Source organism: Homo sapiens, chromosome 1, assembly GCF_000001405.40.
Source record: "Homo sapiens chromosome 1, GRCh38.p14 Primary Assembly".
Taxonomy (NCBI): domain Eukaryota; kingdom Metazoa; phylum Chordata; class Mammalia; order Primates; family Hominidae; genus Homo; species Homo sapiens.
In genome coordinates this window covers 6919511-6943937 of record NC_000001.11, presented here as the reverse complement: position 1 = coordinate 6943937, position 24427 = coordinate 6919511, and the positions used below count along the sequence as shown (strand labels likewise).

The 24427-nt window shown below is 49.3% G+C and overlaps 1 protein-coding gene across 25 annotated transcripts in view, besides 1 other annotated feature; it reads right to left on the bottom strand.

The window, feature by feature from the left end:
- The window catches only part of CAMTA1 (calmodulin binding transcription activator 1), a 984253-nt gene that overhangs the window by 825769 nt on the left and 134057 nt on the right, over positions 1–24427 (bottom strand). The window lies entirely within an intron of this gene.
- Positions 13092–13592: an enhancer, noted in NCBI's record as "H3K4me1 hESC enhancer chr1:6990406-6990906 (GRCh37/hg19 assembly coordinates)". NCBI's record gives its function as "activates a minimal SCP1, AML or CMV promoter by ChIP-STARR-seq in primed H9 embryonic stem cells {active_cell/tissue: H9 hESC(primed)}" and the evidence as "EXISTENCE:reporter gene assay evidence [ECO:0000049][PMID:30033119]".

The following is a 24427-nucleotide window of genomic DNA, read 5'->3' as shown; positions in this document are numbered from 1 at the left end:
GAATGTACTTAATGCTACTAAATTGGACACTTAAAATGGTTAAAATTCTATGTTATGTGTATTTTTTTCTTTTTTTTTTTTTTTTTTTTTTGAGACAGAGTCTCCTTCTGTCACCCAAGCTGGAGTGCAGTGGCACGATTTCGGCTCACTGCAACCTCCGCCTCCCAGGTTCAAGCGATTCTACTGCCTCAGCCTCCTGAGTAGCTGGGGTTACAGGCACACGCCATCACACCCAGCTAATTTTGGTATTTTTAGTAGAGACGGGGGTTTCACCATGTTGGTCAGGCTGGTCTCGAACTCTGATCTCGTGATCCGCCCACCTCGGCCTCCCAAAGTGCTGGGATTACAGGTGTGAGCCACCACGCCTGGCCCCGTTATGTGTATTTAACACAATTTAAAATAACTTTAAAAAGGAAAGCAGAATCCCTGGCCGCCGTGTTGAGAAGACGCTGAGGGAGGAAAGGGCAGAGTTGGGAAATGAGTGAGGAGGTGTGGGGCGCCACCTATTTCTGGTGCAGGACAGGTTGCACTTCCCCGCTCTCTGAAATCAGGTGCCTCCTCCCCTCTGCCACAGGGACCCTCAATGCTCCTGACTGTAGCAGCCCCAAGGTAGACAATGGGAGACAAGGGGACCACAGTTGAGCCCTGAGGAGGCTGAGAGGAGGGAGGAAAACCAGGAACCATGGTGTCCTGGACGCCAGGTGAGGACGGTCAGGGAGGAGGGGAGGAGGAGAAGAGGGGAGGAAGGACGGAGGGGAGGAGGGGAGGAGGGCCGGAGTGGCTGTGTTAACCGCTGCTAATGGGGTCCCACGAGATAAGGAATGAGGGCCAGTCACGGCACCAGCCACAAGCAGGTTGCTGGTGACCTTGAGCAGGGATAGTGCTTACAGAGTGGTCAGCACGTTGCCCAGGACATCGAAGGCCCCCAACAGAAATCACTGGAAGCTGGAGCCGGGGCCTCTGCATTCGTGTTCTCGTTCTGCCCTGTGGCACCTTCTCATGCCCTGCTCGGCCCAGAGCAGACTGCCCAGGGGCCACTCTGAGTGAGAGTGTCCAAGCACAGACTGAAGTCCTTAAACACGCAAACATCGTGTCTGGCCGTGCTGCCCATCACAGCTGGCCACACTGGCCTCACAGGGGTACAGGGCCACTCAGACTATCAGGCCTCTCAGGGCAGACCTGGCTACAGCTTGTGCTCCTCCCAACTGGCTCAGCTCCCTTCTCCGTTTGTGGCACAAAGAGCCCATGGTTTGTTTTGGTTTTATTTTTTATTTTTTTAGAGACAGGGTCTCACTCTGTCACCCAGGCTGGAGTGCAATGGCACAATCATAGCTCACTGCAACCTTGATCTCCTGGGCTCAGGTGATCCTCTCACCTTAGCCTCCCAAGTAGCTGGGATTATAGGCCACCACATCCAGCTAATTTTTTATCATTATTTTTGTGTAGAAATAGGGGTCTCACTATGTTGCCCAGGCTGCTCTCGAACTCCTGGACTCAAGTGATCCTCCTGCTTCAGCCTCCCAAAGTGCTGGGATTATAGCATGAGCCACAGTACCAAGTGAGCCCATGGTTTAACTCTGGGGTTTATCCACCAGCCAAATGAAGAATATTTTATAAAATTGTAATACTGTTCAAAATTGCTAAGTACATATATAAGGTTAATGTCACTGTAATATTAAAATACTAAATTCATTTATATATTTTTATTTAAATTGCTGGGGCAACTTGCCATAGTTGATTAAAAATTCTGAACAGGGTGTATTGTATAGGCCAATTATGAAGCAGGGTGTAAATGCTGGGAACAGCACTTGGAATGTGCAGAAAACCATTTGTAAAATGAGATTTCTTTAAAAAAAAAAAGAAAAAAGAAAAAAGAGAATCAGGGCATAGACAGGGGCAGCCTTGCATGAAGCCCGTGGGTGAAGCTTTCCCAGGACAGCAGCGCAGCCCTGACTCACTCGAGCAAGGCCAGTGTTGTCCATCCTCGGCAAGTTTTCCTGGTTCTCAGGCTCTTCAGTGGCTGCATTTACCAAGCCAAGGCTCCCACCTCTCCTTCCGCAGTCATGGAAAAGAGCCCTGGCCATGCCTATAGTGGACACATGGGCTTCTAGCCCATCCCAGGCACTGCTGGCTGGGCACAGGAGCAGAACTGCAGGCCTCACCTGTACGGCCTCCACCCTTCCAGAGGTCACCTGCACTGCAGGACTGCCCAGAAGTGCTAGGTACTAATACTTCAGGAGTGACTCTCACCCATGAAGGACGAGAGCTTCCTCGCCTGTCAGGGGACACCCTGAGGTGTGCTCCCTGCTGTCACTGAAGGGCCCCAATTGCCCACGGCGCTAACCTGCTCATTAACACTGGGCTGACTGGAGCCCCACCCTCCCTGATGTGTTTTCTGGGATGACCTCCTAAATAGGCCATTTACACCTAAATCTGTGCCTCGGGTCAGTGTCTAGGGGAGCCACATGCAGGCACCAAGTCCCCACACTCTCCCGGTCACGGCTTCCTTGCTGCTCAATGAACACCCCAGTGCCTGGCCTCTGAGGGACTCGGATTCGGAAAAGCTGGAGAGCTGGGGTAAGTGTGCGATTCAAGAAGGCTTTGGGGGCCACTGGGCATCTTTCTCTTGGAGACAGCCCGGTCTCCCAATGGTGTCCTACGACTTCAAGTGCGGCTGTGCCCAGTGCCCCGCAGACAACTGAAAACAATTCCCAGTCATGCTGGAACTCTACATGCAGCTATTGAGAGCTATGGGGATCTTCAGACATACCAGAGGGGCAGCAGACAGGACGAGGGAAACACCAGGGACTGGAAGTCGGCGAACCTCAGTTCCATCCCTGCTCTGCACTTCCAGGCCATGTGGGCTCCTCGGCAGAAAATGAGACTAGTCATGCCTACCTGTGAGGGTCCCTCCTACCTGAGGACACACCTTCCCTGTAAGAATCTCCCCTTGCCTGCAAGGATCCCCCCACCTTGCAAGGATCCCCCCTCCCCCTGAGGATCCCCTTTCCCTGTGAGGATCCCCTGCCTGTGAGCACAGTGCCCACCTGTCAGGACACCCTGCAGAGTCCATCACAAATGGGGGATAGTGCTGAGCCCGGCCTTGGCAGATGAAGAGGTGGGTGTCGGTGAGGAAGGGGGCTGTGTGGACACCTGCCATCTATCCTTCTCTGGCCTCCCTCAACTCCGAGGGCTCCAGTAATCCCCAGTGCACACTGAGGCCCTCGTTTCTATTGCCCCTAGAGTCCTTAAGTGTCACTCCTCTGGACCCTTGGCCCCCAAAAGGCCCATTTCTTCTTTTCTGCTGAACGATTCACAGACCCTAGCCTGGCACTAGGTCCCCAGGAGGGACTCTGTGATGGTTCATTTTAGGTGTCAGCTTGACTGGATCACAGGATTCCCAGACACTCAGCCAAACATTATTTCCAGGTATGTCTGTGGGAGTGTCTCTGGATGAGATTAGGCTTTGAATCAGTAGGTGAGTAAAGCAGGGCTTCCTCCCCAGTGTGGGGGGCATCATCCAATCCACTGAGCATCTGAGTAGAGCAGAAAGGTGAGGGGAAGCAGAACCCTCTCTCTGCCTGCCTGCTGGAGCTGGGCCTTGGTCTTCTGACCTTGAACTGGGACTTACACCAGTGGTGTTCCTGTGAACTCAGACTAGAATTCCAAAACCAGCTCTCCTGGGTTTCCAGTTCACAGAGAGTAGATCATGGGACTTCTCAGCCTCCATAATCTCATGAGCCATTCCTTATAAATCTCACATAAATATCATTCATATATATAGTAGGGGTCCTGTTTCTCTAGAGAACCCTGACTAATACAAACTCCATCCCAGCACCTAGTTGAAGATTTCACAGGTGCAGGGTGGGGACTCAACTCAACACACTTCTGCTTAGACACGGATATGCTGGCATTGGCCATGTGGCCACGTAGAGCTGTCCCTGGCCTGGAGGAGCTCACAGTCCAGTGGAGGAGATGCACAGTCATGCATGCATTCATCCAGCGAGCATCTGCTCATGCCTGCTCTGTGCCCGGCACTCGCCCAGTTGCTTGGGGTGCTGGGGTGAACAGAGAAGGTGCCTGCTCTCATGGAGCTTGCATTGAAGCAGGGAGACAGATGCTAGGCAGAAGCCTTGGAGAGGAAGTGCCAAGATGAAAACAGAGCCCTGCGCCGTGACGAAGGGTGACCGGGGTTTGCTTGGGTTTGGGCTTCTCTGAGGTGAGATCTGAGCAGCAAGAAGGGCTTCTGTGCTGAGTCCTGCCCCAGGGAATAAATAGGGTCCAGACAGCAGAAGGTGGAGAGGAAGAACTCTCGCCACAGGGGACCAGGCTAAGCAGGACCCCTGCAGGCTGGAGACAGAGAGGACGGGAGGCCATGGCAGGAGGACAGGTTGGAGCCACTTTGCTGTGCATGGAGTTGTGCTGGGTCCTGAGCCCAGAGCCCATGGGCGGTGCTGGCAGCTCCAAGTCCTGTCCACACATTATCAATGATTCCCTTCTATTGGAAAATGATTGTGTTTATTTTCTTTTCTACATTCTGGACTGAGGCCATATGATAATTATGAAATGCACAACCCATAATGTGTTCTAAACTGTCTCTGCATAGTATGTGGTTTTGGAATAATACATAAAATGCTTAATAAAAATTAATGTAAAAAGGAGAGTCATCAGCCTCACTTGGAAATAAAATCAGTATTAATTTCTTTGCCCGCAGTTCCCCTGCTGAACTAGTGATGACATGTCCATCTCCTTGACCTCTGACGCTCCACGCCTGCTCCTCTGGTTACGAACCCAAATCCCAAAGGCCCTAGGGTCTCATAACAACACATGTGAGTGTGTGGGCCAGCCCTATGGGTCATGGCAACTCCCTGAGTTTTCCCAAGCCACATTCATGCTGGGTCCCAGGGCGAGGACTGTGCCTGGTGGACAATGGACGCATGACAAATATCTGCTAAAAGCTGCTCTTTGAGAGACTCATATCTGTCAGGCCCAAACGTCTTGGGAACTGATGTAAACAGTGGGGCCGCAGGGCAGCGAGGAGAATGTGACACGTCTCCATCTTCTGGTGGCCACAGCCCTGTCATGTGTCTGGGCAGCTCAGCCAAGAAGCATGAAGCCATAATACTGGTCAGTCTATACCGCAGTCAAGCACCAAACCCAGAGTCCCAGATGGGCCACAGGGAGCCAGAGGAGATCATGAAAGGCCAGAAAAACAAAGCTCAAGCTTCCTGGAGGCTGTGTGGCCAGGACAGAGAGATCAGAGTATGAACCACTTGGCCCAGCCTACCAGCTCCGACTGACCATGTGAAAACAAGGCAACCCAGCAGGACAAACACACAGCAGAACAGGCCATGCTGCTGCTCACATAGCCCAGGAGACCTGGGAGGACAGCATGGTTGACTTCTTTCCCAAGGCCCGCCAGCCAAGCCTTCAAGAGCCCCAGACGCATCCCTCCCCTGCTGCCGTGGCCCCAGGGCTGCCAGCATGGAGCAGAGCCTGGCACCTCCCCTTTGCTCCCCACCTCCTGCTGTGACGCAACCAAGTCCCCAGGGCCAGCTCTCTGCAGCGCCTCCTCCATCCTCCCCACCCCAGCCCTGACCCCAGCCAACCAGTCTCTCAGCCGCCCTGGTCCCCAGAGCTGAGGGGGGTACCTCTCTCCCCATTTGCCAGCCACATGGGAAAGGAAATCCCCATGGGCCAGTCTTCAAACTCAAAATTATTGCATCCTCAAACATTTCTCTTGACAAAAGTACAGAGTTGACGTCTCCTTTCATCCTTTTATCCTATAAAATCTTAACAGTACTGTATATATTTAAAGCCCCTAAATAAAAAGGTATGGCTATGAGAGTGGACTCCAAGTCCTGGCTTCAAGTCCTAGTTCTGTTACTTACCGAGACTTCTGTTTTCTCATCTGTAAAACAGGCAGAATATCTGCCCCCTGAGATTAAAGGAGATGACCAATTTAAGGGATTTCTCCAAAGGTCTGGTACATAAGAAGTGATACATAAATTAAGTGAGGTGGTAGTGGTGGTAGTGTTGGTGATGATGGTGGTGGTTTAAGTGGTGAATGGTGATGGTGACAGTGATGATTATGGTGATGACAGTGATGGTTATGGTAGTGATGACAGTGATGATGGTGATGGTGATGGTGGTGGTAAGTGGTGAATGGTGATGGTGATAGTGATGATTATGATGGTGATGACTGTGATGATGGTGATGGTGATGGTGGTGGTAAGTGGTGAATGGTGATGGTGATAGTGATGGTGATGATGATGGTGATGGTGATGATGGTGGTGGTAAGTGGTGAATGGTGATGGTGATAGTGATGGTGATGATGATGGTGATGGTGACGATGGTGGTGGTAAGTGGTGAATGGTGATGATGGTAGTGGTAAGTGGTGAATGGTGATGGTGATGGTGATGATAGTGGTAGTAAGTGGTGAATGATGATGGTGATGGTGATGATGGTGGTGGTAAGTGGTGAATGATGATGGTGATGATGATGGTGATGATGGTAGTGGTGATGATGATGGTGATGGTGATGATAGTGGTGGTAAGTGGTGAATGGTGATGGTGATGGTGATGACGGTGGTGGTAAGTGGTGAATGGTGATGGTGATGGTGATGATGGTGGTGGTAAGTAGTGAATGGGGATGGTGATGGTGATGATGGTAGTGGTGATGATGATGGTGTTGGTGATGATAGTGGTGGTAAGTGGTGAATGATGATGGTGATAAGTGATGATTATGGTGATGACAGTGATGGTTATGGTGGTGATGACGGTGATGATGGTGATGGTGATGGTGGTGGTAAATGGTGAATGGTGATGGTGATGGTAAGTGGTGAATGGTGATGGTGATAAGTGATGGTTATGATGGTGATAATGGTGACGGTGGTGATGATGATGGAGACGGCAGTGGAATCCTCTCTCTGTTTTTTTTGTCTTTTTTTTTAAACAGAGTCTCACTCTGTCGCCCAGGCTGGAGTGCAGTGGCGTAATCTCGGCTCACTGCAAGCTCCACCTCTCGGGTTCACGCCATTCTCCTGCTTCAGCCTCCCGAGTGGCTGGGACTACAGGCGCCTGCCACCACGCCCAGCTAATTTTTTGTATTTTTAGTAGAGATGGGGTTTCACCGTGTTAGCCAGGATGGTCTCAATCGGCTGACCTCGTGATCCACCTGCCTCGGCCTCCCAAAGTGCTGGGATTACAGGCGTGAGTCACCACGCCCCACCCTCTCTCTGGTTTATAGTAACTTCTGGTCAATACATCAAAAAGCTTGGTGGCAAAAGAGCTCTGGTCACAGCCCAAATCCATAAGCCAGAGCTCTCTTTCCTCCCCCAGTTCTCATGTCCTGCAGGCTCAGCAGATACAATCTTGAATCCTTATTCATCAAAGAGAAGGTCAGGAGAAATGAGCCTCCCTCTCCCCCAACCCCTGAGTTAGCTCCATTTACAGAAACCTCATCCCCCTCCTGCCCCCATCCACAGGCATCTGCCTCTGGCCACCAGTGACACCAGGCACCACCAGAAACACTCAGCATCATCTCTCCTCCCTGAATCCTAACTGCTAAACCAGTGATTGTATTTCATTTCAGTGGAAATGCCATCACTTTGTACTAAATCCCACCATATACAAAACATCGAGTGGCTTCTCCTGATAAGAAGAGATATAGGAAAATTGCCACATTAGATACTGCCTATTATCTGGGCTACTTTTGTCGAAAACAACACATCATAGGCAGGAACTAATGGCACAGACTTTCAGCAGCCAACCTAAGTCCCCGCAGACTTCACTCCAAGAAATCTGATGCTTTCCACCTCAGTCAGGGCACTGCTGCTCCATCCCAAGTTTTTATTTTCCAGAAGGTTTTAACGGAAGAGAAAGAGGAAGGCAATTCTCTGAGGCCATCCTCCAGGCTCAGGCGCATAACCTTAAACAGTTAGACCTCCGACAGCCTCGAGTCACAAAAACACAGTGGCTTCCTGGGAGCCAGAAGTTCTGGTCTCCAGTTTCCGACCTGCCACCTTCTGAGACCCTGAGCCCACCCCTCCAGACTCTGCGGGGTCTCCATCTGGTGAAGGAGACGGTCCACCAGGGACTGTCTAGGGCTCCTTCCATTCTGAGATGCAACTAACAGTGATTTCCGTGCCTGCAGCAGAAACATGAGCATCCACTGTCGGCCAGCACTTTTCAGTCCAGGAAGGAAAATCATTCATTTTGGCTCAAGAAAACCACGGAAAAGTTTACTTTTTGCAAATGTTTTCTTTACAAAAGCCAAATCCCAGAGCTGATGTGATGTCGGGCGGATTAGACAATTAAAGCAGGCGCACAGAATACAAATCTGCATTTGTTCAGCTGGGTCTGGAGGAGATCGCCATTTCCTTCCTCCCTCAAGTCAATTTATTCAGAGAGCAGCCTTCTCTCCAGATAAGCACATTGACTTTAAAATAAAGTGTGTGCCAACAGCTGCAGCCCCGCGACTGGAGCAGACAGAGATGTGGCATGGAATGATAATTAAATATATTTTCATCATCCGTCATTTTTTTTTTGCTGCAGGTGCCAGGGTAATAAATCTGGACTCGCCTCTTTTGTCAGCTGGCAGTGAACACATTTTAACGTGAAATCTCCTGGGAAGAATTAAGAGTCACTTGGCCTTGTAAAGGAGAAAGGGTTTTACTTCCAAACTGCCAAGTGGGGAGCTCACAGCTGATTGGTTTCATAATACTTTATTATTTGACAATATATATGCCTCGGGTTGTATTTCAGAATACCACACCTACGGGATAACCAGCGCCGTGAGAGATTTGTCATCAAATTCTAGAATAAAAACTTATTTGGGAAGATTTTCACCACAATTTCTTTTTATGAATCCCAAATTTAATGTATGATTGACTAGGTATATTCCCATCTTTGAAACTTTTCCTGCATTTCTTTTAAGTTCCCCAATAGTCTTTTCTTCCCCTTGTAACATATTGCAGGGAAATCTGTTGCTCTTGCTGCCTGTGGTCTGAGTTAGGTGCTTTCGACTGGCCTAAGGAGTTTGGTGGACTTTTTATTTTGACAGTTTAACAGCTCCTTCTCCCCAGGGGAAGCCTCAAGTGAGCAGTCCTCGGAAAAGCCCAAAGAAATGGCACATCATAGCATCCTCAGAGCCCTGCCTTCCTCTCCAACCATACGCCCTCTGCAAGATACCTTCACTGAAGAGCAGGGCTAGGTAAAGCCATGGTGCGGGCATAAGAGGGGAGAGAGGGGAGGGGGTGGTGGTGAAGGGAGGGGAGGCATTTGCCCCGGGATCTCGGGCAGCTCCTGCCGGCCACAGGTCTCCCCTGGAAGGCAAGGATTCCACAGTACCTGTCACAGCCAGCAACACACAGAGACACGCAGCTAGCCCAAGCGGGTCCACAGTGGCCAAGTTCCTTTTCTCTCCTCCTCAAAGGAATGTTCTGGAAAGGAAATTCCTCCCACACCTGCCCTTACCCATCCTCCCAGGGCACCCATTCACCACATCCGTGGAGCCTCAAATATGAATGCCTAAAGCAGGTGACATGGGGCAGATTACAGCAGGAGGGCTGTGTGTGCCTCTTTTACAAGAGGGGTGGTTCCTCTGCCATGCCCTGACTGAGGGCCATGAGCGATGCTAACTTCCGGGAGCATGCCTCATCCTTCCGGTCCACATTTCTCAGAGGACACCTGGGCTCAGCCAAAAGCATCCCATCCTGAAACCCTAAGGTCAATGCAGAGTGTCTCTGAAAATGCCTTATTAAATACCAATAACCTCCCCTTCTGCCGACCACGGGCGCTGGCCCCTCAGTCACTCATATGGTCCTACACCCACCGGTGTGGCAGGACAGCAGGTGGCATAGCTCCAGAAGAGGCCATCTGCAGAGAGCAATGTGAGGCTCAATCCCAATCAAAATCCCAGCAGGCTTTGTGCTGGAAACTGACAGCCAATTCTAAAATCCATATGGAAATGCAAAGGACCTCGAGTGGCCAGAACAACTTGAACAAGAATAAAGTTGCAGAGCTAACACGACTTAGATTCACAGGATTTCAAGACTTGTTATACAGCCACACTAGTCAAGACAGTGGGGTATTGGCTTAAAGACAGACCACCGGATCAATTAACAGAACTGAGTCCAGAAATAGACCTTCATATATATGGATAAATGATTTCTTACAAAGGGGCAAAATGCAATTCAGTGGAGAAAGAGGAGTCTTTTCCACAAATAGTGCTGAAATAATTGGATGTCTACGTGCAAAAAAAAAAAAAATGAAAAACGAACCTCAACCCATACCTCACACCATATGCTTTAACTGAAAATAGACTATAGGCCTAAATTTTAAAATCTATAAAATTCTGAGACGAAAACATAGGAGAAGGCCAGGCACAGTGGCTCACACCTGTAATCACAGCACTTTGGGAGGCCAAGGTGGGCAGATCACTTGAGATCAGGAATTACAGACCAGCCTGGCCAACATGGTGAAACCCCACCTCTACTAGAAATACAAAAATTAGCCAGGGTTGGTGGCATGTGCCTGTAATCCCAGCTACTCAGGAGGCTGATGCAGGAGAATCACTTGAACCTGGGAGGTGGACGTTGCAGTGAGCTGAGATCATGCCACTATACTCCAGAGACTCCATCTCAAAAAAAAAAGAAACGAAAACACAGGAGAAAATATTTGTGACTTTGCATTAGCTAAAGATTGCTTAGATGGCCAGACACAATGGCATGCACCTGTAGTCCCAGCTATTCAGGAGGCTGAGGCAGAAGGATCATGTGAGGTCAGGGGTTCGAGGCTGTGAACAGCTACTGCACTCCAGCCTGGGCATCATAGCAAGACCCACATCTTTTTAATTAAAAAAAAAAGATGATGATTGCTTAGATACAACACCATGAGCATGATCCCTAAAAACAGAAAAAAAAAAGATTTAAAAAAACTGACATTATCATAATTAACTTCTGTTCTTCAAAAGATACTGTTAAGAGGATGAAAAGACAAATCACAGACTGGAAGAAAATCTCTGCAAAGCATATATCTGATAAAGAACTTTATCTAGAATATATATAAAGAACTCTCAAAACAATAATAAGAACACAGCCCGACTTTTTTAAAGGACAAAAGATTTGAATAGACACTTCACTAAAGAAGATACATGGGTATGGCTAAATGCAGGTAAAGATGCTCAACATCATTATTTACTACAGAAATACAAATTCAAACCATGACGAGATATACCACATGCCTGTTAGAATGGCTAAAATGACAAAGACTGACCGTAGGAAGGGTTGGCGCGGATGTAGAGAAACTGGAACTCTCATACCCCGCAGTGGGGATAGAAAACAGCGTGGTCACTTTGCAAAGCAACGTGTCAGTTTCCATATGATCCGGCCATCCCACTCCTAGGCATTTACCCGAGAGAAAAGAAAGCATATGTCCATGCAAAGACTTGCACACAAATGTTCACAGCAGCTTTATTTATAAAAGTAAAAAGTGGAAATAACCCAAATGTCCATCAACAGGTACATGGACAAATTGTCTCATATCCATACAACAGAACACTACTCAGCAATGAAAAGAAATGAATTACTGATACACACAACATGGATGAATCTCAAAATAATTATGCTGAAAGGAGCCAGACCCCAAAAAAAGACAACATGCTGTATGACTCCATTTATATAAAACCCTAGAAATGCTAACTAACAGACTGACAGAAAGCAGAGTGGTGGTTGCCTGGCGAGGAGGGGGGAGGCCCTGGAGGAAGCAATCACCAAGGGACTCAAGGATACTTCTGGGGTGATGGGTACGTTCATTATCTTGATTTGGCGATGGTGATGCCAGAACTCACTGAGTTGTACATTTTAAATATGTGTAATTTATTATATGTCAATTATGCCTCAATAAAGCTGTTTTCAGAAAAGAATACAATGTGAATGGTGTTCCCTGAGGTCACACAAGGAGGCACCAGTGCGTACAGGTGTTATAAGCCCAGGAAAGAAAAATAATAATTGCCAAATGGAACAGTAATTTGCCTGTGACCGATGGTAGAAAAGCTTGCATCCAAATTCAAAAGCATCCCCCTCTCCTCATTCATTCATTCAGCAAATGAGGTACCAAGTCCCCAGGGAACAAAGATATGGTTTCTCTCCCAAAAGAAACTAGACCAGGAACCCTGATTCTATACCTTGGCCATTAATGTGCACATCTGCAGGCATGTGGGGGTATGTGTGCACAGCGAGGCAGCCCAGCCACGTAGCGTAGGCAAATCCCATGAATGCTTAATGCCTCAACTTCCTCATTGGTACAGTGAGGAAAACAGTAATATCCACATCACAGGGTCGTTAGTTCGTTGGGCAGAACTTGGAGGTACCCAGAGATCAACAAGGAAGCAGAAGGAAGAGGATGTACAAAGGCTCCTCCTAAATTATCATCTGCGTGATTCTTTAAAAAAATGCCTGGCGCTTCCTAAGCCCTCGGTAAGTGTGTGTTCCATTTAGTACTATAATTACCACTACTTTTATTACTACGCTACCTGTAGAGACACACGCCAGGATGGAATGAGGGCATCTCCAGGTGCTGAGATAAGTGACTCTGATTCTATTCACCTTCCTGTTTTTCCTTTCCTCGCCGAACACATATTACCTCTGAAAATTAAGATTTTTAAGTAAATAAAAATACCCAAATAAGCTAGAATGCTAAATAGCTTCTGCATTTACTTACCCACACCCACAGGCACATTTTAAAAGTAAGCTCCCTAGGGGTGCCCAGCCCACACCCTCTTGCTTCCCTCAGATGAGCAGCTAGCTGCAGGTTAACCACTGGGGGTATGAACGGAGGTTTCTTTTTGCCCCCATGCCTTGTAGCCTTTTATTCTAACCAGACCGAGGCATCTATGCCCCAGGGAAGGGCCCTTATGAGGAACCAGAGAACAGAAGAATCAAAGCCGTGGCTTTAGAATTTCAAAAGCTAGGGCCCAGATGTGTGCAGAGGAGACGCGGCGGAGCCAAGGCCAGCAAGGGCCACTCCCTGCCCAGAGCCAGGCTGAGGGAGGAGAAGGAAACAGATGCTCCTTCCCACGCCTGGTGAAGAGTGGGCTAAGACTCCAGAGAGGCCCAAGCTCCAGAGCAGGGGCTGAGCCTTACTCCTCATGCAGAGCCAATGAGCATTTTTCCGTGAGCCCCAGAGACCAGAGATGGCTGCTAGGGTTCAGGGGACAGCCAAATGGTCCCTTGCTCCCCAAGAGGGGTGTGGAAGCAGCTGAGGATCTCACCCTTCCCTTCAGAGACCCCACAGTTAGGACAAAGGGGGGTACAGCATAGACCTGCACAGGGGTACAGAGAGCTGGGGAACAGCAGTGATGAGGGCCGAACCCCTAACCCCCATGAGCTCCTCACATGCGCGCAAACCCAGGAGGCTGGAGGAACTTTCTGTTGGCTGAGAAAACCCACAATTAAATGTGATTCTGTTTCTGTAACCTGGTGGAATGAAAGACTGAAGTAGAAATTAGAATCAGTTACAGAAAGACAGAGTGGGCTCCATGTAGAGTCCTTGAGGGTGGCCTATCTGTTTCTGCCACATACTCAAAGTCGCCACCAGCCAACATCCTTCATCCTTCAGCATATGACGGTGTACAATGGTGGGAACATGGTACGCCAGCACCCTGGTCCAAAACAGAGAAGACTTGGATCCCAGCAGGCAGGCGAGTCGACAGTGATTACCAAGGATCGAGGAGAGGCAAGGCCAGTCCTGCAAAGCTTCAGGAGAGGGCGTCTGGGCAGAACTTGGAGGTACCCAGAGACCAACAAGGTACTGGAGGCAGAAGGAAGAGCATGTGCAAAGGCTCACCCTAAAACACAGTGTCCAGCCACAGCATTTACAGCCTGGTGCAAAGGCTCATCCTAAAACACCATGTCCCGCCACAGCATTTACAGCCTGGTGTAGGGGACAAATACCACGAGAGCACGGTCAAGACCACATTGAATGGGTTACTAAGTTCCACCGAGGGCAAATGCAGCACCTCCTAGGTGCTCATGGACCGAAGGAGAATTTTCATCCAACCTCCAAGAGGTGAGAAGAGGGACGACACAGCAGGTTTTCAATAGTGCTAAAGTTATGCCATTTAAAGAACTGTCCTTTAAGGGCCGGGCACAGTGGCTCACGCCGGTAATCCCAACACTTTGGGAGGCCGAGGCAGGCAGATCACGAGGTCAGGAGTTCAAGACCAGCCTGGCCAACACAGTGAAACCCCATCTCTACTAAAAATACAAAAATTAGGCCGGGCACGGTGGCTCACGCCTGTAATCCCAGCACTTTGGGAAGCCGAGGCGGGCGGATCACGAGGTCAGGAGATTAAGATCATCCTGGCTAACATGGTGAAACCCCGTCTCTACCAAAAATACAAAAACTTAGCCAGGCGTGGTGGCGGGCGCCTGTAGTCCCAGCTACTCGGGAGGCTTGAGGCAGGAGAATGGCGTGAACCCAGGAGGCGGAGCTAGCAGTGAGCTGAGATCACGCCACTGCACTCCAGCTGGGCGACACAGCAACACTCCATCTCAAAAACAAACAAACAAACAAACAAAAAAAAAAAAATTAGCTGGGCATGGTGGTATGCGCCTATAGTCCCAACTACTTGGGAAGCTGAGGCAGGAGAATCACTTGAACCCAGGAGGCGGAGGTTGCAGTGAGCCGAGATCGCACCATTGCACTCCAGCCTGAGTGACACAGCGAGACTCTGTCTTGAAATGAAACGAAACGAAACAAAACAAAAAGAGAAGAAAAGAAAAGAACTGTTCTTTATTCTAAGAGTATGTCCTTCCAACTTTTACAACATGTTGATGATATATGGTAGCTGTAATTTTTCTACATCTTACTCAGCAGAATTAAAAGTCATTGGCCCTTAAGTCCCTTCTATTTAAAAAAATAATAATAAAAAGCAGCACTGTCCTGCGGAAGCCCCACTCCTACAGACACGCTTGCTGGTGCCTCCGATGGGCCAGGCACAGGACTAAGTGCTAAGTAAACAACAGTGAACATGGTAGATGCAGATGGACGTGGTCTCTGCCTGCATGATGAAGCTTGCATTTAAAGGGCCATGAGGAGCAAACAGAGGAGCTGGGGGCCTGCCTTAGACAGGGTGCTCTTGGCTGGGCTGTTTAAGGAGTAACATTTAAAGTGAGACCTGGAAAATGAGCTGGGGCAAGCCAAGGACGGGCCTGATAATGGAACCCCAGGTAGGGGGAATGGCAAGTGCAAAGGTCCTGGGGTGAGAATGAGCTGGGAGATCTTCAAATTGACAGAAGTCAGTGAGGGAGGAGGAGTGAGGCAGCAGGCTCTGAAACTGCAAGTAAGGGGCTCTCTGGGAACAGGCAACGGCAGGCATCTTCCCAGGGGAGAGTTAGGGTGGGGAGGGCAGATGGGAATAAAGGTAAAGGGGAGGGGCTGTGTGGGAGCTAGAACAGCAGAAGCACCTATCCTAAGACACCTGAGTTTACAGTCGACCTGTCCCTAAGACGTAAGCACCTGCTGAACACAAAGGCACTGAACACCCGATTCTCTCTCTGATCTCTTCAGACTCCCTGTCTTATAAGTCTAGTGGTTTGGGGAGCTCCCTGCCCTTTGAAGCAATGATTTCAGTACTTCAGGCAGAGGGCACGTACGCACCAAAACAACAAAGGGAATTCTCTGCTCTGAACGGCAAGACTGATTTCTGTTAGCATCAGCAGCGTGGCCACAGACTTGAAAGCGCTCTGTTAAGAGGGAGGGTTTTCTGAATCCACATCCTAGAGGATTCAGATCACCGAGTTCTCCCTCGGCCACAAAGAAGATGCCCCTTCCAGCGCTGGTGGCTGGGTCCTGAGGCTGATGCCCCAGGCAGGAGGAGAACAGGATGCAGGGGAGCGGAGAGAGTGGAGCCTGGCCCCTCCTGTCCTGAGAGATTGTGGGAGGAGGGAGGCAGGAAGAAGGCAGGACACCTGGATCCTTGTCGTCTCTCCTGCAACTGCCAGATGGGTACGTAGGAGTCTGAGAGCCTCAGGCCTATTGGCCAGTTTCCTGGGTAGCTAGGGGAAGGCCACAAGTCACTAGAAACACGGTTCCCAAACTGTGCACCAAGGCTGCCTGAGGAGCCTCTGCTAACTCACAGGAGACCTGCAGGAATATTTACATTTTTGTGGGAAACAAGCAATACTTAACATCTGCCGGACACCACTGGTCCCACTAGCTTGAGGCAGTGGACAGTTTCACCATTAGACTGTCCTGCATGTCTTCTGAGGATGTCAGGCCATGGTAAAGCTGGGGTTTCAGTGGCTGCTGAAAGAAAAAGTGAGTACCTCACAAAAATCAATATGAAACAGGAAATGAGGGCACTGGTGTCTAATCTGATCCCAGGATTTTACAGTTGTCCAGTGCCTGATAGGCACACATATCCCATTCGTAATTTGGTTATTTAAGAATGGAATTTTTAAAATTATGTGCATTATATTTTCAAACAGCTATTGTTAGGACACAAATGTTTATTAAGGTGTTTATATCTAACTACTTAATAAACGGAACTGTTAGATATTTATTTTGGCCTAGGGACATCAGGAAAAAAAATCACTGAGGCGGCTGGGTGCAGTGGCTCACACCTGCAGTCTCAGCGCGTTGGGAGGCTGACGTGGTCGATTGCTTGAGGCCAGTTCAAGATCAGCCTGAGCAACATGGCAAAATCCCATCTCTACAAAATAAATGAATGAATGAATGAATATTAGCTGGGCATGGTGGTGCATGCCTGTGGTCCTAGCTACTCGGGAGGCTGAGGCAGGAGGATCACCTGAGCCCTAGAGTTTGAGGCTACAGTGAGTTATGATTGTGCCACTGCACTCTAAAAATAAAAATTAAAAAAAAAATAATCACCGAGGCCAGGTGCAGTGGCTCATTACTAGCACTTTGGGAGACCTAGCACTTTGGGAGACCAAAGCAGGAGGATTGCTTGAGCCCAGGAGTCTGAGACCAGCCTGGGCAACAAAGCAAGACCTCATCTCTACAAAATTTTAAAGAGTTAGCTGGGCATGGTGGCAGGTGCATGTAGTCCCAGCTACTTTGGAGGTTGAGGTCGGAGGATCATTTGAGCCCAAGAGATCAAGGCTGCAGTGAGCTGCAATCGAGCCAATGCACTCCAGCCTGGGTGACAGAGCCAGATCTTGTTTCAAAAAAAAAAAAGAAAGAAAGAAAGAAAAGAGAGAAGGAAGGAAGGAGAGAAGGAGGGAAGGAAGGAAGGAAATGAAAGGGAAGGAAGGGAATGAAAGAGAAAGAAAGAAGAAGAGGAGGGGAGGGGAGAAAGAAAGAATGAGAGAGAGAGGAAAGGAAAGGGAGAGAGAGAAGGAGAGAGAGAGAAAGAAGGAAGGAAGGAAGGAAAGAAAGAGAGAGAGAAAGAAAGAAGGAAGGAAGGAAGGAAGAAAAGAGAGAGAGAAAGAAAGAAAGAAAGAAAGAAAGAAAGAAAGAAAGAAAGAAAGAAAGAGAAAAGAAAGAAAGAGAAAAGAAAAGAGAGAGGAGGGAGGGAGGAAGGAAGACAGAGAAAGAAAGAGAAAGGAAGGAAGGGAGGGAGGGAGGAAAGGAAAGGAGAGGAGAGGGGAGGGGAGGGGAGGAGAGGAGAGGAGAGGAAAGGAAGGTAGGTCACTGAGGCACTTGGAGTACAAGATGCAAGAAAGTTTGGGAACTTCTGCTCTGGGGAGAACTTGGCCCATCCCCTCCCAACGTGGGGCAGATAGGCATGATGAGAGTGATCATTAGTGACAACCACCAAGCACTGTCCTGAGCAAGTGGCTTTGAGTAACTTATTTCATTCTCCTAACAGCCCTCTTTGCCCTGTGGATTTAATCAGTTCATAGATGACACAGGGAGGAACAGCGCCTGGGACAGAGTTAAGTGCTCAGTAAGTGGCAGTAGTGGTGGCTGTGACTTAGATTATGGACATGATACCCACAGGAGATGGAGGCATAAGGAGAGGAAGTCAGGTCCTCAGGGTTACAGCTGGAGCCGGGAGGGGGAGGAGGCCCCATGCCTATCCTCTTGCCCTACTACCCTGCCTCCTGGTGATGGATCAGCCAGCGGACAGCTTAGGGCCCTATGGCCTGCAGGCTCCAGTGACCTCACACTGTCAGAATGGAGATGCCTCTTGGGAAGAGGTATTGAAAAGCCAAGAAAATAAACAGTGGGACCAGGGCTCCACTTATGGGTGCCAGGATTCCCCAGCAAAGTCTCCACGGGGCTAGTTGCTCCTGGGGCTCAATAGTCCAGCCTCTCTGCAGAAGGAACCAGAGAGGGTACCAAGGAGTGGCTGGAGGGCAGAGACCCCTCCCTCAGCTACCTCCAGGCTACAGGGACGCACTCCTCCCCATACTCCAAGGCGCCGAGGGGAGCAGGAGAGGAGGCACTTGGAAAGATCGAGCACAGCCTCAACACAGGTTACCTCAAGAGGCAATTTGAGCCATTCGATTAAATCCACCAGAGTGGGCCTAAAATGTAGGACCCCCAAGCCTTTCCCCCTCGAAAGCGAGGTCAGGCCACTTAGAGAGAAAGGGAGAAGTGACCCTTTTTTTGCACGAGGCACAGTGTGAGGACACGTGTAACCCCATGACGCGCAGGGGAGGCATGAGAGACAGGAGGGCTGCTGGCGGCTCTTGGCCCATCAAGAAATGTGGGAAAGAGGCCTGGGCCAAGGCGAAGCTTCTAGAGGCCTCATGGCCCCATTCCCCCTAGAGACAAGGCAGGGATGGAGCAGGTTCAGAAATGGCTTCTCCAAGTCCCCATGCTCAGGAGGCCCTTCTGCCCTTGGGCCCCCTGCCCACTGCCCAGTGTGCAAGGCTGGTCAAAAGCAGGGCCCAGTCACTGGCAGCAGCCCCTCCTCAAGGCTCCAAGGCCAGATAAAGTTGTCAGCACACCGGCCGTGAAGGGCCAGCATAGCCAGTCAGCTGTTTGTAGCCACAGCACAGTCCCCCCCAACCATATCCAAGAAAGCTACACCAATGTCACATGAAAAAACTCCCAGAGAAATCAGACCAAGAGGCAAATGTGGGCTGCCAGAGTTCATCAAAATCACTATTTGCAAGATTCCTATCTGCCCTACTCAACGCATTTCAATTCCGAAGTGCTAGATTCCCCGGTATAGTAATAGAAAGGGTATTCATAGGCACTCCGGCTTCCAATAAGATGCAAAAACTTAGCTCGCATTTTTTAAAGTTTATAAATAGCCTCGGAAAAGAAGCTGGAACATGCTTCTTAGTAAATACAGCTGACCCATTTTCCTCATTCTTCACCAGGAATAAAGCGGCTGTTACCACGGAAAGTACAGAAGAGTCTAAATATATATTTCCTCCTCACAGGGACCCAGATCAGAAAGGCAGAGTCGACACTCAGTGGGTGAAAGAGGGAGAAGCCAGGCCAGGGAGGGCCGCCCCTGGTCACCTCCCTGCACCCCAAGGGGATGAAAGTCGTGGAGCCCTCAGCCCCAGCTCAGGGGTGGGGTGGGCACCACTGACTCCAGGACCCTGCAGGAGGCTGCTCAAGGTCCGCTCAGCAAGCCCCTCCCAGCTGGCCTGACCCCCTCCCAGCTGGCCTGACCCCCTCCCAGCTGGCCTGATCCCCTCCCAGCCTGAGCCCCTCCTGGCAGTTTGGTTTTTCTCCACTCGGCCTTTGCACCATCTTTATGTTTCCAGTCTCCCCAGCTAGAAGGTAAGCGCCAAGAGAGCAGGGAGGCTTCCCTCTTGTGCACTATTCACACCCAGTCCCGGGAACAGTGCCTGGCATGTGGCAGGTGTTCAATAAATATTCATGACATGAACAAAGTCATGCCGTGTGGCCAGCCAGGCTCAGCCTGCGTTCCTAACAGTCTCTTACTGACTCTGGGTAAGCCTCCATTTTCTTCTTGTGGACACAACCAGGTAGCCCCTTCATTTTGGAAGTCACAGACCAGCCTAATGGTCTTGGGCGAGTAATGGGGGTTCTCTCTGGTGAATTCTACACCTTGGGGAATTGTTTTTCCCCTTCCTTTTGCCAAGAGCTGTGATAGAAAACAATTATCCACCAAATTGGCAGGTCTAGGGGATTCAGAGAGAGGACATCACCTTCTTGGCAGTCTCATGGGAAGGTAAAGGTGTCTATCTGTTCACTGCCCTGTTTCTAGAGGCGTGCCTGACATAGGACAGGTGCTTACTATCCATGAAAGAAGGAGAGGATCTAGGACATTGGTCACTCACATGGACTCCCCGCTTCCCAGGCTGACCCCAACACCCCCAGCTCACCGCCACAGGAAACCACCAGTGTGGCTGCCCTCTTCCTGCATACCAGAAGCCCCCAGCCCCGCCACCCTCCATTTCACACCTGTGGACCTTGAATAAGCCAGGCCTCCCTGGAAGCAACAAGGAGGGCTGCCGGCACTGAGCCAGGGGCTGGGCCTCGTGGCTTTGGGATGGTCTAGTTCTCTTCCTCATCTTTCAGAGAACTCTTACAATAAACCCCTCTAAACAGGAACCTTGAGGGCATCTCTGTTCCCTGAAACTGAAAGCAGGTAGCCCACACCCAGGAATGGGGATTGAAAAGAGATCAGTGCTCCCCCTTCCCACACTCAGATCCTAACAGATGGCACAGGGATGACCCGAATTGGATCACAGATACTCAGGAGTGCAAACTGGGACCCCTCTCGCTTCCACATACCACTGCAGCCATCACTGGTCGGACAGCACCAGCCAGTGCTATCTATGCACACAGCAAGCGCTCAACAAGTGCACAAGTGTGGGAGGCTGCTTTCTGATGAAGAGTGAGTGCCTGCAATTCAGAGAGTTTATGCTGTCTTCCTGAAGTCTCTGTTCTTTTACTGATCATTTATCTAAATCGACTTTAATTCATCATCTCAACTAGATCATAAAACAGCTTAATTGATACTTATTTGATGGAATCTACCTTATTCGTGAAATTTATCACTTCATACAAGTGCAAGCAGGGACCAGGAAGCAGAGCTTGCCACCGTCACCGGAGTGATCCTCCAGCAGACTCATTCCTGGAACACTTAACGGAAGGGGGTGTGTTCCAAGATCCCAGCGCTCCAAATTAAAACCTGGCCCTCCCTAGGGCGCTTTGGACTTAGCCTATTGGATCCACACTGTGGTTTTAAAACATGTCTGCAAATCCTCTGGCACTCCTCCCACCAAGAAGTGGAGGCCAATTCTCCTCCCACTGAATACAGGCTGGCCTTAATGGCTCACTTGTAACTAATAGAACTCGGCAGGAGGGATGCCGTGTGACTTTCAAGGCCAGTTCATGAAAGGCAACACAGCATCCACCGGCTTTTCTCAGGACATGCATTTGAGGCCCCAGGGGAGAAATGTGGCTGTCCTGCAGCCGTCATGCTGAAAACCACATGGAGAAAGGGATGCCAGAGGAGCCCTGGCTGCTCTGTCCCCAAATGCTTGCATCTTCCCAGACCCACTCAGAGAAGCCTTTAAGATGACAGCCCAGCCACTATCTGACTGCAACAGCACTGAGACCCCAAGTGAAGCTGCTTGGGCCAGCCCCAGAACCAAGAGAGGTGATAATAATAAATGACTGTTGTTTCACACTGCTGAGTCAGGAGAGATTTGTTATGAAGCCAGAAATAACTGAAACAATACACAAATCTCACTAGCTGTGGACCCTGGCCAGGTCCCTTCCCTCTGCACCTGCTTTTGCTCATCTGAAACTAGAGGCCTGGGGACCCAGAACAGAATTGTGTGAGTTTTTGGCAAAAAAAAGAGAAATAAGGAAAAAGGGGGAGTTAAAAAAACAGGTATAGTGGAGCAAATCCTTCATAAAACCAATTATAATCAACTGAAGAAATATTTTGTATCTTGAAATGATGGCCTTCTTATATTGTTGGTGTCAAAATATTCTTTCCTTTATTTCATTTTATGAAATGATGATACAGTAGCTGACAACTGGCTTTTAATGGCCTCATTTGGTCAAATCAGAAGTTGGCCATCCTGGGTCAGCCCCACTGATATGGTTTGGCTCTGTGTCCCCACCCAAATCTCATCTTGTAGCTCCCATAATTCCCATGTGTTGTGGGAGGGACCCAGTGGGAGAAGACTGAATTAGCGGGACGGGTCTTTCTCATGCTGTTCTTATAATAGCGAATAAGTCTCAGGGGATCTGACGGGATTATAAGGGGGAGTTTCCCTGCACAAGCTCTCTTTGCCTGCCACCATCCATGTAAGATGTGACTTGCTCCTCCTTGCCTTCCACCATGATTGTGAGGCCTCCCCAGCCACATGGAACTGTGAGTCCAATTAAACCTCTTTCTTTCGTAAATTGCCCAGTCTTGGGTATGTCTTTTATCAGCAGTGTGAAAACAGACTAATACAGTAAATTGGTACCAGTAGAGTAGGGCATTGCTGAAAAGATACCCAAAAATGTGGAAGTGACTTTGGAACTGGGTAACAGGCAGAGGCTGGAACAGTTTGGAGGGCTCAGAAGAAGACAGGAAAACGTGCAAAAGTTTGGAACTTCCTAGAGACTTGCTGAATGGCTTTGACAAAAAATGCTTAATGATATGAACAATAAGGTCCAGGTTGAGGTGGTCTCAGATGGAGATGAGAAACTTGTTGGGAATTGGAATAAAGGTGACTCTTGTTAAGTTTTAGCAAAGAGTGGCATCTTGCCACATTTAGCAAAAAGGTGGCATTTTGCCCCTGCCCTAGAGATCTGTGGAACTTCAAGCTTGAGAAAGATGATTTAGGTTATCTGGCAGAAGAAATTTCTAAGCAGTAAAACATTCAAGATGTGACTTGGGTGCTGCTAAAGGCATTCAGTTTCAAAAGGGAAACAGCATAAAAGTTTGGAAAATTTGCAATGCAATTGAAAAGAAAATCCCATTTTCTGAGGAGAAATTCAAGCCTGCTGCAGAAATTTGCATAAATAACGAGGAGCCGAATGTTAGTCCCCAAGACAATGGGGAAAATGTCTCTAGGGCTTGTCAGAGGTCTTCATGCTAGCCTCTTCCATCACAGGCCCAGAGGCCTAAAAGGAAAAAATGGTTTCGTGGGCTGGGCCCAGGGTTCCCGTGCAGTGTGCAGCCCAGGGACTTGGTGCCCTATGTCCCAGTTGCTCCAGCCATGACTAAAAGGGACCAAGGTATAGCTCAGGCTGTTGCTTCAGAGGGTGGAAGCCCTAAGCCTTGGCAGCTTTCACACACTCTAGAGCCTGCAGGTGCAGAGAAGTCAAGAATTGAGGTATGGGAACCTCTGCCTAGATTTCAGAAGATGTATGGAAATGCCTGGATGCCCAGGAAAAAGTTTGCTGCAGGGGTGGGACCCTCACAGAGAACCTCTGCTAGGGCAGTGTGGAAGGGAAATGTGAGATTAGAGCCCCACACAGAGTCCCTACTGGGGCACTGCCTAGTAGAGCTGTGAGAAGAGGGTCACCATCCTCCACACCCCAGAATGGCAGATCCACTGACAGTTTGCACAGTGCACCTGGAAAAGCCACAGACACTCAACAACAGCCTGTGAAAGTAGCAAGGAGGGAGGCTGTACCCTACAAAGCCAAAGGGGCGGAGCTGCCCAAGACCATGGGAACCCACCTCTTGCACCATCGTGACCCAGACACAAGACATGCAGTCAAAGGAGATCATTTTGGAACTTTAAAATTTGACTGCCCTGCTGGATTTCAGACTTGCATGGGCCCTGTAACCCCTTTGCTTTGGCCAATTTCACCCATTTGGAAGAGCTGTGTTTACCCAATACATGTACCCCCGAAGCATCTAGGAAGTAACTAACTTGCTTTTGATTTTACAGGCTCATAGCCAGAAGAGACTTGCCTTGTCTCAGATGAGACTCTGGACTTGGACTTTTGGGTTAATGCTGAAATGAGCTGAGACTTGGGGGGCTGTTGGGATGGCATGATTGATTTTGAAATGTAAAGATATGAGATTTGGGAGGGACCAGGGGAGGAATGATATGGTTTAGCTCTGTGTCCCCACCCAAATCTCATCTTGTAGCTCCCATAATTCCCACGTGTTATGGGGGGGACCCAGTGGGAGATGACTGAATTAGGGGGGTGGGTCTTTCCCATGCTGTTCTCGTAATAGCGAATAAGTCTCCTGAGATCCGACAGTATTATAAGGGGGAGTTTCCCTGCACAAGCTCTTTGCCTGCTGCCATCCGCATAAGGTGACTTGCTCCTCCTTGCCTTCCGCCATGATTGTGAGGCCTCCTCATTCACGTAGAACTGTGAGTCCAATTAAACCTCTTTCTTTCATAAATTGCCCAGTCTTCGGTATGTCTTTATCAGCAGTGTGAAAACAGACTAATACACCCACCAGCGTTCTGAAATTTGACTGGTCTTCATCATCAAGGTTTGGGAACACCCAGCTAGCTGGTCTCAGATCACTTCCACATCTGAGAAGTGGACATTTC